Below are 16955 nucleotides of genomic sequence, written 5' to 3'. Positions count from 1 at the left end.
AAGTGAGAACATGCAGTGTTTGTTTTCTGTTCCTGCATTCATTAATTAATTATCTTAAGATAATGGCCTCCAACTCCATCCATGTTGCTGCAAAGGCCAGGATCTCTTTTTTTTTTTTTGAGTCAGGATCTCATTTTTTTTTTTTTTTTTTTTTTTTTTTGAGTCGGAGTCTTGCTCTGTTGCCCAGGCTGGAGTGCAGTGGCATGATCTCGGCTCACTGCAAGCTCCGCCTCCCGGGTTCACGCCATTCTCCTGCCTCAGCCTCGCAAGTAGCTGGGACTACAGGCACCTGCCACCACGCCCAGCTAATTTTTTGTACTTTTAGTAGAGACGGGGTTTCACTGTGTGACCTCATTTTCTATAGCTGTGTGGTAGTCCATGGTGTATATGGACCACATTTTCTTTATCCACTCCACTGTTAATGAGTATCTAGGTTGATTTTGTCTTTGCTATTATCCAAATTGCTGCAATGAACATACGTGTGCATGTGTCTTTATGGTAGAATAATCTATATTCCTTTGGGTATATATCCAGTAATGGGATTACCAGGTCAAATGGTAATTCTATTTTAAGTTCTTTGAGAACTCTCCAGACTACTTTCCACAATGGCTGTATCCATTTCTTCTTGAATCAACTTTGGTAATTTGTAAATTCCCTAGAGATTTATCTTTTTATTATGTTTTACAAAGTAGCAGGAAGTTTCATATAACATTTTCATTAACATTATGTACATTAACACTTTGTTATTCATTTGTTTTAAATATGATGTGTTTTTTCTTTATTTTCTTGTTAAAATTTCTCTTAATTTTCTATGTTAGAGGATTTACATATTACTCCTACTGATTTTTTTTTTCTGTTTCAAATTCATTTATTTCTGTTGCTATCTTTACTATTTTCTTTGCTATTTTATTCCTCTGCCTTCCTTGGGTTAATTTCATTTTTCTAACTATTTGACATGAATAATTATCTATTCTTAACAACTAAATGATGTTAGGCTATCAATTTGTTTCTAATTAGAACTTTGGCTATATTCTACAAGTTTTGGTCAACAATTTTCATTGTGATCACATTATAAATATACTGTGACTATAATTTTGACTTTTTTCTTTGATATACTCATTCAAGAATGGTTTAGCATGCTTTTGTGAACCATCTTCCTCTAAGCACACATACCTTCTTCCTCTAAGCACACATACATTGCTCACACACCTTCTTCCTCTAAGCACACATACATTGCTCACACACCTTCTTCCTCTAAGCACACATACATTGCTCACACACCTTCTTCCTCTAAGCACACATACATTGCTCACACACCTTCTTCCTCTAAGCACACATACATTGCTCACACACCTTCTGCCTCTAAACACACATACATTGCTCACACTTCTTAGTTTTTGTTAATATGATCTAAAAGTTAAAAATGTTTTTCAAGGACTATTTAAAAAATAATTCTTACCATCTGTCTTCAATTTTATATCCAAATTTATCACAAATGACCATATTAAACTCTGTGTTTTACCAGCTAAACACTTAAACACAAACAACAGTGGTTTTAGTTTTTGAAACTATTCTAGATCCCATCACATTTTATAAATTAATCTTTTATAAATTAATTTTTAATAATTTTTAAAATTATTAAATTTTATCTCAGTGCTATTTGGTACTGTGAGCTAAACCATCAGATTTGATAGCATTAAATTAATGTGTCCAGGAGACAAACCTGAAGTGATATCCTCTAGAAATTCTCCCTATAAGCACAAAGGCTATTAAATTGGCATGGTGTTTGCAAATACAAGTTTACCATCCTCCACACAGTTTCTCCTTCCTCAAGTTAATGCCTACTTTTCCTTCAAAACTTAGCAAGACAATAGACTCCACTGGAGTTTATCCTCCATAAAGTCATCCTGAATTTCCAGTTGTCTTTAACTTTCCCTCAGGACTTCCAAGACCATCCTGTACATATCATAATTCCACTGTGTGTGCTGTTGACTTTATATGACTTCTCCTTTCCTAAACATTTTGAGGGCAGTGCCTAGCTTATTGCAGGACAATTTGTAAATGGTTAATGCACGTTTTGTTAAATGAGTGGAACTAATCAAAGGGTGACTTGTTCAATCAATCAATCATCTTGAATGGGCAGTAACTTCGATCTATTCATCCCTCTGCTTTGATTGGCTCTTCAGTCCTACAGCTGCAAAGAGGAAAAGTTGGAATGAGCTTCCCCTGTGAAGTGAAAATGAAACCTTCTTATGAAGTCAGGATGAGATCTCTTTATGAAGTTAGAGAAGAAAGCTGGGCTCCAAGGGAGTGGACCCATACTATATTAGCAGATGATTCACTCTTTCACTATAGGGACAACGGGCATAAGAATATTGTGGCTTTCTGGGAGCTTCCTCACTTGGCCCCATCTGTTATTGGTTTGCTCTTTCCCATTATTTCCCACAGTGGCAGTTTCCTGCAACATACTCAGATAGGAAGAGCCACCTCATCTTCAAGACTGGTCTCACGTTCCAGCTCCTCCTTATAGCCTGCCCTGGCTGCAGAGGGAGTGAATCCCTCCACCTCTGAACTTCTTTGCTACATGATGATCATAGCAGCCATTTGGCTTCTAACACTCACTGCTTTCTGCTAATTTTTTTGTCATTAATAGAGTTGGAGATCTTTGAGGGTGAATGGAAAACTACATTTGCACTTCCCGAAGTTTCTAGCAAAATACCTCGCACATTGCATGTACTGAATGAGCATGCTAATGCATATATGTGTATACAGTCACATGAGAGTGTGTGTGTAAAATTATACACTGCACAAATACCCATTTCAATACCTTCCTTCCAAAACAAAATCAGAAAAAGGGGAATGTGAGAAATTTGTGTAGGGAGGGTGAGGTGATCCCAACTCAAAACTTTCTCAGAATATCTTCAATCTCACTTTTTTTCCTCTTTGCTCTAATTTCCAGAAATAACTTTCTGAAAATTTTGCCCCTCCTCTTTCAGAAAAGATAAAATAGTTATTATTTACTATTCCTGTGTTTCTTCACATTAAGATGGAAATACTTCTGGATCCTCAAGAAATCTTAAAACATCCACCAGGTTCATTCCAAAATCATCACCAATAATCAAGAAATGCCCTCAGATATGAGCATGAATCCACACCCACATACACAATCTCCAAGTACGTATACACATATATATGCAAAGCTGTGCCTGGAACCAAGAGATAAATGCATAAAGCCAAGTACACACAGGTACCCACACACACAGATGCGCATTCTCCTCACTGGCTTGGGAGGACCCTCGCTGAGAGGGTGAGGATGGAACTTGGGGGCTCTTGGAGCACAGTCAGTTTCCAATGGCAGCTGTCATCAAGCACTGGTCCAGGCAGGCAGAGGGACCATGTGGCTGAATTTCAAGGTAATTAATAATGTAAAAGGGAACCCTGGGTGCCACTGGGCACTTAGCAGCATGTGCACAATTCTCCCAGCAGATATCCAAGTGGGCATGAGGCCAACCATCTTCCCACCCCTGCTTCCTTTGGCAAGTGAGGCTCAACCTGCTCTGGGGAACGGGAATGTAGGAGCAGTGGTGGCGAGGAAGACTCACATTAGGCGGCCAACACATTTTGCTCTCCATGCAGTAGTATCAGTTACATGCTGTTCCATCCCCTTAAACTGTCAGCTCTTCTTAACAGCCTATTGGGATAGTTCACTCCCTACCCAGCCAGATTGTCTGCATCAACAGTTGTAAGGGAGATATTACCAGCAGCAGTAGCCTCCTGACTTCTCACGTCATGGGGGAGTCAGCTTGCTCTTCCAATGAAGGCTTTTCCTCCTCATCTTCACCCATCTTCTATTATTTTGGCTCCTCAATTTTTGGTTGGGTTTCATTGTCACATGGCTATTCACCAGCGTCAGCGAACAGCAACATTTGGAAGTAAAGGATTTTACCTCCTCTTAATGTCCCCTGTTTCTCATCTTAACTCAATAATACCTTTAATAAGAATTAATAAATATATCACTGATGGTAGAATGTTAGGTCTTATGATAACAGGATAGGAAAAAAGTTGTTTAAAGAGGTCCTTTTGGAACTACTTGATTATTTATAGGGTTGACTGTAATGTGTTTATTTCTTCTTCCAGCACTGCCTCCTTAGCACCGCCTTGGTCCTGTTTTCCTCTGAATATGCACCAGTGGTTATAAGGTTATTTCAACATCAGTGCTTATACAGGTGAATCAATGGCAAAGATATTCCCCTCTTCTTGTTTTTCTTTGGAACGAATGTTCCAAGGCGGGCATGTGAAAGTTAAGATCCTTAGCTTAGCAAAAGAGACCTTTCAGTATTAGCTCCTGTCTACCTCTTTAGCTTCAATCTCAATCACTTACATTATACTTCAGCTATGCCAAGTTCCTTGCAATTCACTGAATGTGCCAGTCTCTGTCATGCCTCTATGGCTTTCTACTTGCCATTTCTATCACCCAGCATGGCCTTTGTTGAGTCTCCCATGGCACCCTGTGCACTAATTTCTCATAGCACTGGGCTACAGGAACACAAAGAGGACAACCAGCTGGCTGGGGGAATGTTTTAAGACTTCTCTGTGGGCAAGACAAGGAGTTCACTATGACTTGAGTGTGAAAAAAAGTTTCACAGAAACAGAGAAGGAAGTGGGAAGTGGCAGGAAATGGGTGGGCTAACACTTACCTTGTTGTCTGCTCTCTCCGTTAGGATTATATTGACGGCAAGTGGGAAAACAAATTGCAGTGGCTTATGTACAGTAGTTTATTTCTCTCTCAAATGCAAATTAGCCCAGGCAGGAAGTCCAGGGTTAATAGGGTGGTTCTATTCCAACAAAGCTCCTGGCTCCTTTCAGTTCATAACGCCACTCTTGTCTTCATGTCTTATGGTCCCAGATGACAGCATCCTCATTCCAGGACTGCATCCTTCATATGGACTTCTAACTTGTCTCCCTACGTTTTATAAACCACCACAGTCATCAATTCTACCTCTTTTCATGTATTTTCACCAACACTGTCATCATACCATTCCAAGCAACCACCATGTCTGACTTGACTCTTGTCACTGCTCTGATCTTTTCTTTGAGGACTGGTGCAATTTTACAGGAGAAATAAAAATATAATGTGATGGTTGCTTTATTAGAAGTAAGGGAAAATTACAAAAGAAATGTAGAAGAGGGAGAAATTACTTTTTTTTTTTTTTTTTTTTTTTTGAGACGGAGTCCCGCTCTTTAGCCTAGGCCAGATTGCAGTGGCACAATCTCGGCTCACTGCAAGCTCCGCCTCCCAGGTTCACGCCATTCTCCTGCCTCAGCCTCCCAAGTAGCTGGGATTACAGGCACCCGCCACCACGCCCAGCTAACTTTTGTATTTTTTAGTAGAGAAGGGGTTTCGCCATGTTAGCCAGGCTGATCTCAAACTCCTGGCCTCAAGTGATTTACTCACCTCAGCCTGCCAAAGTGTTGGAATTACAGGTGTGAGCCACTGTGCCAGGCCTAAAATATCTTTAAATATAAATATCTACTAGCAAGGGACACTAAGCAAAAGAAACTGCATAAGCAAAAGTAGCAAAAGTATAATATGTTCCAAAATAAAAGTAGTCAAACTGAGTAGTATATGATATAGGCTGTATATTAGTTTGCTAGAACTGCCATAACAAAATGCCATAGACTGTGTGGCTTAAACAACGGAAATTTATTTTCCTGTAAATCTGGAAGCTGGAAGTCCAAGATCAAGGTGTCATCAGGGTTGGTTTCTTGTACAGCCTCTCTCCTTGGTATGTAGGTGGCTGTCTTCTCCCTGTGACTTCACATGGTCTTCTCTCTGTATGTGTCTATGTCCACAACTCTTCTTCCTATAAGGACACCAGTCATATTAGATTGGGACCACACTGATGACCTCGTTTTAACTGAATTACCTCTTTGAAGACCCTGTCTCCAAATACAGTGACATTCTGAAGTATCGGAGGTTAGGATTTCAACGTGTGTATTTTGGGAAGACACAATTCAGCCCCAAATAGGCCATTATATTTCAGGATCTTGGAAGAAATAGGTTAGAAAGATAGGTACAAATCAGATCGTAAAGAGCCTTGAAGGTTGGAGTAAGGAGTATGGACTTTTTCCTAAACTAATGGACAACAGAAGGGTTTTCAGCAAGAGTGGGCTTTGATCAATAAACATACGTGTGCATGTCTTTATAGCAGCATGATTTATAGTCCTTTGGGTATATACCCAGTAACGGGATGGCTGGGTCAAATGGTATTTCTAGTTCTAGATCCCTGAGGAATCGCCACACTGACTTCCACAAGGGTTGAACTAGTTTACAGTCCCACCAACAGTGTAAAAGTGTTCCTATTTCTCCACATCCTCTCCAGCACCTGTTGTTTCCTGACTTTTTAACGATCGCCATTCTAACTGGTGTGAGATGGTATCTCATTGTGGTTTTGATTTGCATTTCTCTGATGGACAGTGATGGTGAGCATTTTTTCATGTGTTTTTTGGCTGCATAAATGTCTTCTTTTGAGAAGTGTCTGTTCATGTCCTTCGCCCACTTTTTGATGGGGTTGTTTGTTTTTTTCTTGTAAATTTGTTTGAGTTCATTGTAGATTCTGGATATTAGCCCTTTGTCAGATGAGTAGGTTGCGAAAATTTTCTCCCATTTTGTAGGTTGCCTGTTCACTCTGATGGAAGTTTCTTTTGCTGTGCAGAAGCTCTTGAGTTTAATTAGATTCCATTTGTCAATTTTGGCTTTTGTTGCCATTGATCAGATGCATGTCTAAGAGGACTGTGTGAGGTCCATAGCCAGGACCAAGCAGAGCCTGGAGGTATTAAGGTCATTCAGGAGTCTATTGCAGTGAGACAAGAGAAAGACAAGGAAGGTCAGAGATCACAAATTTGAGAGACATTTTGTTCATAGAATTGAGAGGATGTGGATAGGAAACCTGCAGACTATCAGGTTTCTGGCCTGGTTGGCTGAGGAAGGTGTCAGAAATGAAAATCAAGAACACATGTTGAATTTGAGGTATTTAATAGTACAGAATATCTAGGTGAATCATTCAGGAAACATGCATCTACAATCGAGGAGCTGGGTGCAGTGGCTCATGCCTGTAATCCCAGCACTTTGGGAGGCTGAGGCAGGTGGATCATCTGAGGTCAGGAGTTTGAGACCAGCATGGCCAATATGGTAAAACCACGACTCTACTAAAAATACAAAAATTAGCCAGGTGTGATGGCATGTGCCTGTAACCCCAGCTACCTGGGAGGCTGAGGCAGAGAATCACTTGACTCCAGGAGGCAGAGGTTGCCGTGAGCCGAGATCGTGCCACTGCATTCCAGCCTGGGTGACACAGTGAAACTGTCTCAAAAAAAAAAAAAAAAAAAAAAAAATCCAGGAGGGAAAACTAAGTTGAAAATATAGCACACAAATGATAGTTGAGGTCAGAGTTGAGGCCAGCCTGGGAGCATAGGCCAAGAAAAAAAAGATATGCAAAAGAGCGTCCAGGTGTGTTGGCTCATGCCTGTAATCCCAGTACTTTAGGAGGCTGAGGAGGGCAGATCACGAGGTCAGGAGTTCAAGGCCACCATGGCCAACATAGTGAAACCCCCATATCTACTAAAAATACAAAAATTAGACTGACATGGTGGCACGTGCCTGTAGTCCCAGCTACTCAGGAGGCTGACGCAGAAGAATCACTTGTACCAGGGAGGCGAGGTTGTGGTGAGCTGAGATTGTGCCACTGCACTCTAGCCTGGGCAACAGAGCAAGACTCCGCCTCAAAAAAAAAAAAAAAGGTATTCAAAAGAGGAACCGGAGAGAAGTGCAGCACTTAAGGGGTGGGTGGAAGGGAAGACAAGTCAGAGACAGAGGGGGAAAAACAGAAAAGAGCCGTGCCACAAAAAGAACAGAAATCAGCTTCAAAAAAGAGGAAGGCACAAGGTCAATCAAAAAAGCAGAGTAAGAATTTAAGAGAGACTGCTGAAGTTGGCCTCCAAAAGAGAAGTTTTAGTGGAAGAGTAGAGACAGGAGCCTGACTGCAGCAGGTCTGGGAGTGAGGGGAGGTTTCATGGTGGGAAGATGAAATGTAGACCATTTCTGGAAGCCTGGCTGTAAAAAGAGGAAGGAGCTAGGAGGTGTTGAGGGGAAGTTTTTGGTTACTGTCCCAGTCTGGTTTTCATACCCACAGATTTCCAGATGAAAATCTCCATTCTACACCTTGTACCAGAATGACAAGCTGTGCAGAACATTTCACTATTTTGCTCCATAGCTCTGCTTCATGCCCCTACAGTGGAGTGTTCATACTTCTGTCTCAGGATCTACATGTTATTTGTTTGTTTGTTTGTTTGTTTTTGAGACAGAGTTTCTCTCTTGTTGCCCAGGCTGGAGTGCAATGGTACAATCTCGGCTCACTGCAACCTCCGCCTCTTGGGTTCAAGCGATTCTTCTGCCTCGGCCTCCCAAGTAGCTGGGATTACAGATGTGTGCCACCACACCCAGCTAATTTTTTGTATTTAGTAGAGATGGGGTTTCACCGTGTTGGTCAGGCTGGTCTCAAACTCCTGACTTCAGGTGATCCACCCACCTCAGCCTCCCAAAGTGCTAGGATTACAGGTGTGAGCCACTGTGCCCAGCCTGAATCTATACACACGGTTCTTGTTCACAGCCTTGTCCTTCAGTGTTATATCATAAACCCCTCAAGGGCAGGAATCACATCTCATTCATCTTTATACTTCCTACATTGTATGTTTAAAAGTGTATAGAGAAGGAAAGAATAAAGGGAGGGAGGAATAAAAGAGTTACTACTGAGAATTTATCCTGGGCAAAGTGTTATGCTAAGTATTTTTCTTAATCTAATCTTTATACCAAACCTGTGATAGAGTAACTATTATTATCTCCATTTCACAGCTGAAGAAACTGAGGCCCTGATATAATAAAGTGACCTGCCTGAGGCCATGTAGTTAGTAAACAGCTGAGTGTGCATCTGAACTCAGGCATTCAGAATCAAAAGTCCATAGTCTTAGCTGTGTAAAAATCAACTCCATTATTGTAACAATTTTATGTGTCAATCTGATTGGGCCTCAAGGTGCTCAGTTGGATATTTGGTCAAACATTATTCTGGATGTGTCTGTGCAGATGTTTTTGGATGAAGTTAACACTTGATTCCCTAGAATAAGTAAAGCAGATAGTCCTCCCTAAAGCAGATGTGTCTCATTCAATCAGTTGAGGCCTGGATTGATCAAAAGGCTGACTCTCTCATGAGTAAGATGCAATTGCCCCTGCATGAGCTTTGAGCTGGGGCATTAGTCTTCCCTGACCTTCAGGCTCAAACTGAAATATTGACTTTTATGGGGTCTTGAGCCCACGGCTTTTAGGATGCAGCTTATACCATTAGCTATCCTGGGTCTCAGGACTTGGGACTAAGACTGGACTACACATTGTCTCTCCTGGGTCTCCAGCTTACCAACTGCAGATCTGAGGACTTGTCAGCCTGCATAATCATGTGAGTCAATTTTGTATAATAAATCTATTTCTCTATATACATCCTGCTCTCTAGGGAACCCTTACTAATGCAAGTATTTTGAAAATTTGACCTATATGACAGGATATACTGGAAATAGTTTGAAATATTTATTTCCTAAAAGAAAAAGAGCAAAAGCCAAGAAGAGTTACATTTGATCTGCTGAATTGCACTTCAACTGCCTTACATGGTGCAAAACAGAACATATGATCATCCCATCACTCCTGTGCCGTCGGGTTATGTTCAGCTGTCAGGTTTGTTGGTTTCCTAAATCAACCAGTCATAGACCATCACCTAAAATATTTTTCACTGTCAAGTTCTAGAGCATAAAATTAGTCTTTATTGCTTTGACCATTACTGATTTTGAAGGCTGAGGAATGATCACATAGAAAAGGCAACAGAGCCTGGACCAGAAGGGCTCCCAGATGAAATGCATTTTGGCTGATGGCTTTCATTGGAACACTGACATGAAGGAGCTGTCAGGGCTCTGGGCGGTTTCCCTAGGGTGTGAAGGCCAGGCAGGTCATGTGGTTACTTTTCATCCTCTGCACTACTTCCTGAGAGCTGGACAGTGTCATTGAGTTTGGGCCCATGGACAACGCATACAAGGGAAATCTTGGAACTGCCTGACCGTTGTTCAGGGCCTCTGGTGCTGAAATCCTGCAAATCTCCAGGACAGAAGTCAAGATGTTTTCTGAGAAGTCTCCAAAGTCTCTCCAATGAATAAGAAAATAAAGTCAAGCTAGTGGCTTCTCCTTCGAATGATACCTGGTTTTATTTTTTTTAATTTCTTTTTTTCATCAACGTTTATTTTAAGTTCTGGGGTACACGTGCAGGATGTGCAGGTTTTGTTACATAGGTAAACATGTGCCATGGCTGTTTGCTGCACAGATCAACCCATCACCTATGTATTAAACCCACCATCCATTAGCTATTCTTCCTGATGCTCTCCCTCCCCCGACCCTCTCGACTGGCCCAGCATGTGTTGCTCCACATGTGTCCATGTGTTCTCATTGTTCAGCTTCCACTTACAAGTGAGAACATGTGGTGTTTGGTTTCCTGTTCCTGTGTTCAACCATGGTGGAAGACAGTGTGGCAATTCCTCAAAGATCTAGAAGCAGAAATACCATTTGACTCAGCAATCCCATTACTGGGCATATATGCAAAGGAATATAAAGGTACCTGGTTTTAGGATAAGGAGAGCTGCCAACTTAATTCATAAAATCAAACTTGGATCAGTCACAGTTTGAGATGTGAAAGAGGCAGACCATGCCTCAGTTTTCTCTTCTTTAAAAGTCACTTTCCCTTTGGTAAACTTTTTCTAATGATTACTGTCCCCACTACCCAGATCTTAGAGGAGTTTCTGTACATATAGTGTTTCAGTGGGTTTAGCGGGAAATCTCAAGATGATGATAGGTTTTGGAGGATGGGAGTTGAGAATACAAAGCTGAATTGCCTCTCCACCCAGTGGATGTTTTCTTTAATAAAGCCACCTTTTATTGAGGGCTATTTGCCAAGCATCCAGTCTAATACTTCAGATGTGCTATTTAATTGAATCCCCACAATATCTCTTTGACTTTGCTACTATTATAACCCTCCACTTTTCAGATAAGGAAACTAAAGCTTAGAAAGATTAACTTCTATTATGGGTTGAATTGTGTCTCCTCAAAAGATGTGTTCAAGCTCTAGCCCCTGGTACCTGTGAAGTGACCTTATTTGGAAATAGAATCTTTGCAGATGTCATCAAGTTCAGATGAGGTCATTAGGGTGGGCCCTAATGCAGTGTGACTGGCGTCCTGATAGAGGGGACCAATCTGGACACAAGAGACAGACATGCACAAAGGGAAGATAATGTAGAGACACAAAAGAAGAGGACAACTAAGCCAAGGTGGAGACAGGGCAGAGATTGGTGTGGTGCCTCTCCAAGCCAAAGAAAGCCAAGAATTGTGGGCAAACACCAGAAGGTAGAGGAAACAAGGAAAAGTCCTCCCCTTATATCTTTCAGAGCGAACATGGATGTGCCAATGCCTTTACTTCAGCCCTTGAGATTCTAGATCTGTGAAATAATAAATTTCTATTGTTTTAAGCCACCCTACCTCCTCGTACTTTATTACAGCAACTCTAGGAACCTAATACAACTATCTTGCCCCAAATCACAGAATTAGCAATCTTGCTAATCAGGATTTGAATCCATGTCTGTCTGACCCTTAAATCTATATTCATGTTTCATATTGTCTATACTTTACTACCAACTAACTAAGGCAGCATCTAGTAGAAACAATCAATTCTACCTAGGGAAGCTTTTACAGAGAAGGTGCCATTGAAGTCTGCATCTGAGGATGAGGATGAGTTTCCTAGGGGAGGAAGGGAGGAAAGAGAAATCCAGATGGAAATAAGAGGGCAAGCACATGAAAATGTACCCTGTGCTTCAGGAATAAATGTGGCTCATGCCTGGGGTTGCATGGGACTGTATGATAAGGAAATGTGATCATGCAAAATGGCTACAGTTTCTGAGAAAATCCTGGGAGCATGCCTGCAGGTATGTTTCTATAGTCGAGGAACATCCAAAATTCCGAAATGATAGGATGGCCAGTCTGTACCCATATCATGAGGCTCCTGCCCTGCACTTGAATGATGGAGCATTCCTGGCAGTGAATCCTTTTGGCACAGTCAACCTACTTACCCAGGGTGGGCTGGAAGATTCCATTAGCGAAGGAATTTACAAGATAAGGAACATTTTCTTTCCTTGTCATTAAATGCTGTCTCTTAATTAAGTTGTCTTCTTGCTCCTGATCAGAAAAGAATACCAAGAAGTCCTTTTCCAGGAAAAAGCTGATTTCTCCTCTCATCTCCTCTACACACACCCTGCTTCCCTACCCCCAATACGTCACTCAGTGATGGGCTAGTGCAGACAGCTGAGTAAGCCAAGCCACTGTGGAGGGAGTCCCCTTCATCTCAATGTGTGTGCGCCAGGGGAGAAGCATGGCCCAAGCACTCTGGCAGGTGCAAAGGGGGTGCTCAGAGCATGCATCTCAGACACAGCCATGCTGAGCTGCGTGATATCAGCAGCTGATCCTTTAATCTCACATAGAGAAGGTCACATGCTAGTTATTAGACGGTATCACTATTGTACCTCTAGATGCCCGGGTCTGCCTACTTTCTACCAATAAAGAAATTTTTACTGAACACTGTAGATTTTGATTAAATTCAGGTAAAGTTAATTTAAATGAGGCAAAAGAGGTTACATAGGCAGTGGCCACTGGTACTAGAATATCTCTACATGAATAAGAGGAAGAGAGTAAACACCTCGTAGCCATTTATAGCTTGTCTCTTTCTTTGTTCCGTGCCCCATAGTGAAGCAGTTTCAAAACGCTGCCAATTCTTTCTTTTTTCTCCTGCCTTTATCCGTCTCTTTCTCTCCATTTGCAGTATGTAGTTGACATGCACCTACTCATGCTTAAAGTTGCAGCTCATACTTCACCTCTCCTCTAAACACTTCCCTGACCTAACCACCTTCCCTCCCACATTACGCCGGCAGAATCAGGCACTTTCTTCTCTACGATTCAATTGCACAATGTCAGCACAGCTATTATGAGACTTATCACATCATGCTTTATTTATTTACACTTCTCTATGGCTGCAAAACAAGCCACCCCAAAACCGAGTGTCTTAAAACAACATTTATTACGATTGTTATGTCTCATGGTTCTGGAGTTTAATGGGCTCAGCCAGTTCAGCCAGTTCTCACTCAGGGTCTCCCAGTAACGACCATCAGACCAGGGCTCAGCTGGAATCATTGCCGACACTTCATCACTCACATATCTGTGATGGGAAAACTCAAACAGCTGGGGCATTTTGGGCCACCTCTTCACCCCTGTGTAGTTTCTCCTTATAGTTTGTCCCTCACAGTAGTTTCAGAGTGGCCACACATGCTACGTGGCCCCCCAGGGCTCCAAAGGCAAGTGTCCCAAGAGAGTGAACCAGGCAGAAACTGTATTGCCTTCTACCACTGAGTCCAATCACCCAGTGCCACTTTGACACAGTCCCAGGCCCACCCAGAGTCAATGGGGAGGGAGGGTAACACATCTCTCAACCCCACAGGGGAAGGTCAGCAACCTGTTGTAAGGAGAGCATGTGGGATGGGAAATACTCATGCAGCCATCTTTCTTTGGAAAATACAATGTGCCACAGCTATAAATCCAGTGTTTGGCAAAATGCCTGGCACTTAATGGTCTTTACAAATATAAGTGGTTGAATGAATGAATGACCCTTATCCCCCTGTATAGACCTTCTTATCTTATGCCCAGCTATTGAAAATGCTTCTATGCTTGCCTCTTTCTCTTTAGACTTTCTTATATCCAATTTATCATTTACCCTACTTTCTGAAGATCCATTTTCTAAAGCCCCTGCTTTTCTCATGTCTCCTTTTCAAAAACCTTCAGCGGTTCATAATTCCTTACCACAGTGTGAGGATGTTGTCCCAGCTTGTGATGCTGTGGAGTTCTGGTGAGTATAACACAAGTACACAGGTTCATATATGTACACCTCAACTTAACTATGGACTGAAAGAAGAGCATGCCTGGCACATGGATGTGCTGCTGTCTTTCAGATGAGCAGCTTCTTTTATTGATAGAAGTTGTCCTGAGTTCTGGTTCTAAGTGATGGAATAAAACATTATGTTTACTTCTGTTCCCTCTTGAAGTTACACACACACACACACACACACACACACACACCAGCAGAAGGATAGAAAGGAAACAGATCTTTAAAAGACTAGAAATAGAGACACAACCTCAAAAATGTAGAAGCTGGAAAGCCAATGGGGAGCAGCTATTGACTTCGTTGAAGTGATTTTTTATCAAAGAACTTCATTGTGGCTTAGGAATTGGAAACACCAAATGCCTCTAAAATCAGGAGAGAAGTTAGGTTGTAAAATGAAAATGAGTTAAAAGGGTGTATGAGAAGCAGTAGCTGCCCCTTCCCCACACTGGCAGAAGACGGGAGTTTTATTCTCTCGGACAAGATGAACCAGGAGGACTCTAGACATGGATCAGCAGGCACACTGATGATGGGAATGTGTTACTGAAAACAAAGAGAAGTAAATAAAAATCTACGCACGGAGCAGTGATATCTCGGGGTCCCTTTTCCTATTCATGAACTCTGATAGATCTGGCCTGTGCCCCTTCCCCACACCAATTAAGAAATTGCTGAATTTCCCTCTGACAGAGGAAAAAAACCAACTTACCCATGGAACAAAAGCCCATGAAAAAAAGACTTAAAGATTTTTACCACTGTGTTTCCCACATGTATTAACCTACAGTGAGGCTCACCCTTAGACAAGCCTCTCCTATGTACAAGGAATTGCCAATATGATTTTTCAGTGCTGATCTCCTAAATAGGAAGAGATAAGGGTCACTATATGGCCGGGCGCGGTGGCTCACGCCTGTAATCCCAGCACTTTGGGAGGCCGAGGCGGGCGGATCACGAGGTCAGGAGATCGAGACCATGGTGAAACCCCGTCTCTACTAAAAATACAAAAAAATTAGCCGGGCGCAGTGGCGGGCGCCTGTAGTCCCAGCTACTCGGGAGGCTGAGGCAGGAGAATGGCGTGAACCCGGAAGGCGGAGCTTGCAGTGAGCCGAGATCGCGCCACAGCACTCCCGCCTGGGCGACAGAACGAGACTCCGTCTCAAAAAAAAAAAAAAAAAAAAAAAAAAAAGGTCACCATATACTGAAGAGAAGCCACATCTGAAAAGTCAGGGACCAAAACAAATCAGTGGGACCAAAAAACTCAGAGGAAAGAAGAGCAATCCTAGGAGTAGTAAAAGGAGGGGTGGGAAAAGGAAGAGGAGGAGGAGGAGAAAGAAAACTGTAAGTATGACCTTCAGAAAGATTAAAGAAGATAGCAGAGACAAAATATTCAATATACAAATTGGAAAACAAAGGTGAAGTATATTGCAAGGTGGGACAAAAGATAAAGATGGAAACTAGAAAACCTAAGAAAATTAAAGGATTCATGATCATCTAGCATGTGAATCAGAGGAGTTCTAGAAAGAGAGAATGGAAAAGATGAAGGCAAAAATTATCAAAGAATTCGTGCAAGAAAAACTTCCAGAACAAAAAGACCCAAGTCTCCAGACAGGAATGGCTGTAAATGTCCAACAAAATTGTAAGAGAACATCCTACAAGCTTCCACAGAAACAGAATGAGGAAGCTATAAAGGATGGTGGGTCTAAATAGCATAGGACTTTTCACAGCAACACTGGAAGTTAAAAGACATCAGAAACATATCTTCAAATTTCCAAGGAAAAGTAATTTACAATAAAAAATTCTACACTTGCTATCAATAAAAGGTCAAAATAGAGCAAAGATATTTTTTCAGACAACTAAGGTCTCAAAAATGCAGTTTCTCTGCACTCATTCTTAAAATACTGGAGGGTGTGCCCCACCAAAATGAACACATAAATAAGAAATGCAAGATCCAAGAAACAGGAAATCCAACCCAGGGGTGGGGTGAAAGGAATTTCCAGAAGACTCAGGGAAAATGTTAGAAAGACACTATGTAATAGGTCCATGAGAATCCAGCTAAGATTGGAGCAGAGACCTAGAGGGCTCCAGAAGTCCTCCAGGAAAACATGAAACAGAGTCCCCGAGGTGTTTGAATGAACAAAAGTACTAAGAGGAGATTTAGCCACTAAGCAAAGTCTGGGGGTAAATTAGTGGTGACTACATCAAAAGTGAATTTTAAGTAGTATAATTATTAATTCCAGGGAAAACAACATATTGTAAAAGGAAAATGTAATCCCAGTACACCACATGGCTCAACTGTGAAGGACATGTACATAATCCTAATTGTGTACAATATAAAAATTAAATCTAGAAATGTAAAAAGAAGGAAGGAAAGAAAGGGAGGAAGAGGGGAAACAAGGAAGAAAAAATATTTTAAAGTGTTACTTACATTAAACCTTTTATTTTTCTTTTTACTTTTTTTTTTGAGACAAGGACATACTCTGTTGCCCAGGCTTGAGTGCAGTGGCACAATCTCAGCTCACTGCAACCTCCACCTCCTGAGCTCAAGTGATCCTCCCACCTCAGCCTCCCAAGTAGCTGGAACCACAAGCATGCACCACCATGCCCGGCTATTTTTTTGTATTTTTTGTAGAGATGATGTCTCACCACGTTGCCCAGTCTGGTCTCAAACTCCTGACTCAAAGGATCCTCCCGCCTTAACCTCCCAAAGTACTGGGATTACAGGCATGAGCCTGTAATAAAAAGTTTTAAAAGCTGCTGTCTAAAAGATGAAATCTAAACCCTTTTACACGACATTTAGGTCTTTCATAATAGCTTCATGTTAACTCATGATAGATCAGTAACACCTGATAACTTTCTTATTCTACAACTGTACTCCATCTTTTCCCTCCAAACTTGGAA

General features: G+C 41.7%; 1 long non-coding RNA gene across 1 annotated transcript in view; it reads right to left on the bottom strand.

Annotated features, from left to right (window-relative positions):
• Positions 1 to 5685: 5685 nt before the first annotated feature.
• Positions 5686 to 16955, bottom strand: part of LOC107984402 (uncharacterized) — a 37164-nt gene continuing 25894 nt past the window's right edge. The window contains exon 3 of the long non-coding RNA XR_007062925.1: positions 5686 to 5864. This is a non-coding gene — a long non-coding RNA (uncharacterized LOC107984402). The remainder of the gene's footprint in view (positions 5865 to 16955) is intronic.

The sequence above is a fragment of the Homo sapiens genome, chromosome 11 (assembly GCF_000001405.40).
Source record: "Homo sapiens chromosome 11, GRCh38.p14 Primary Assembly".
NCBI lineage: Eukaryota > Metazoa > Chordata > Mammalia > Primates > Hominidae > Homo > Homo sapiens.
The sequence above is the reverse complement of the archived record's forward strand: the minus strand, read 5'-3'. Positions and strand labels throughout refer to the sequence as shown.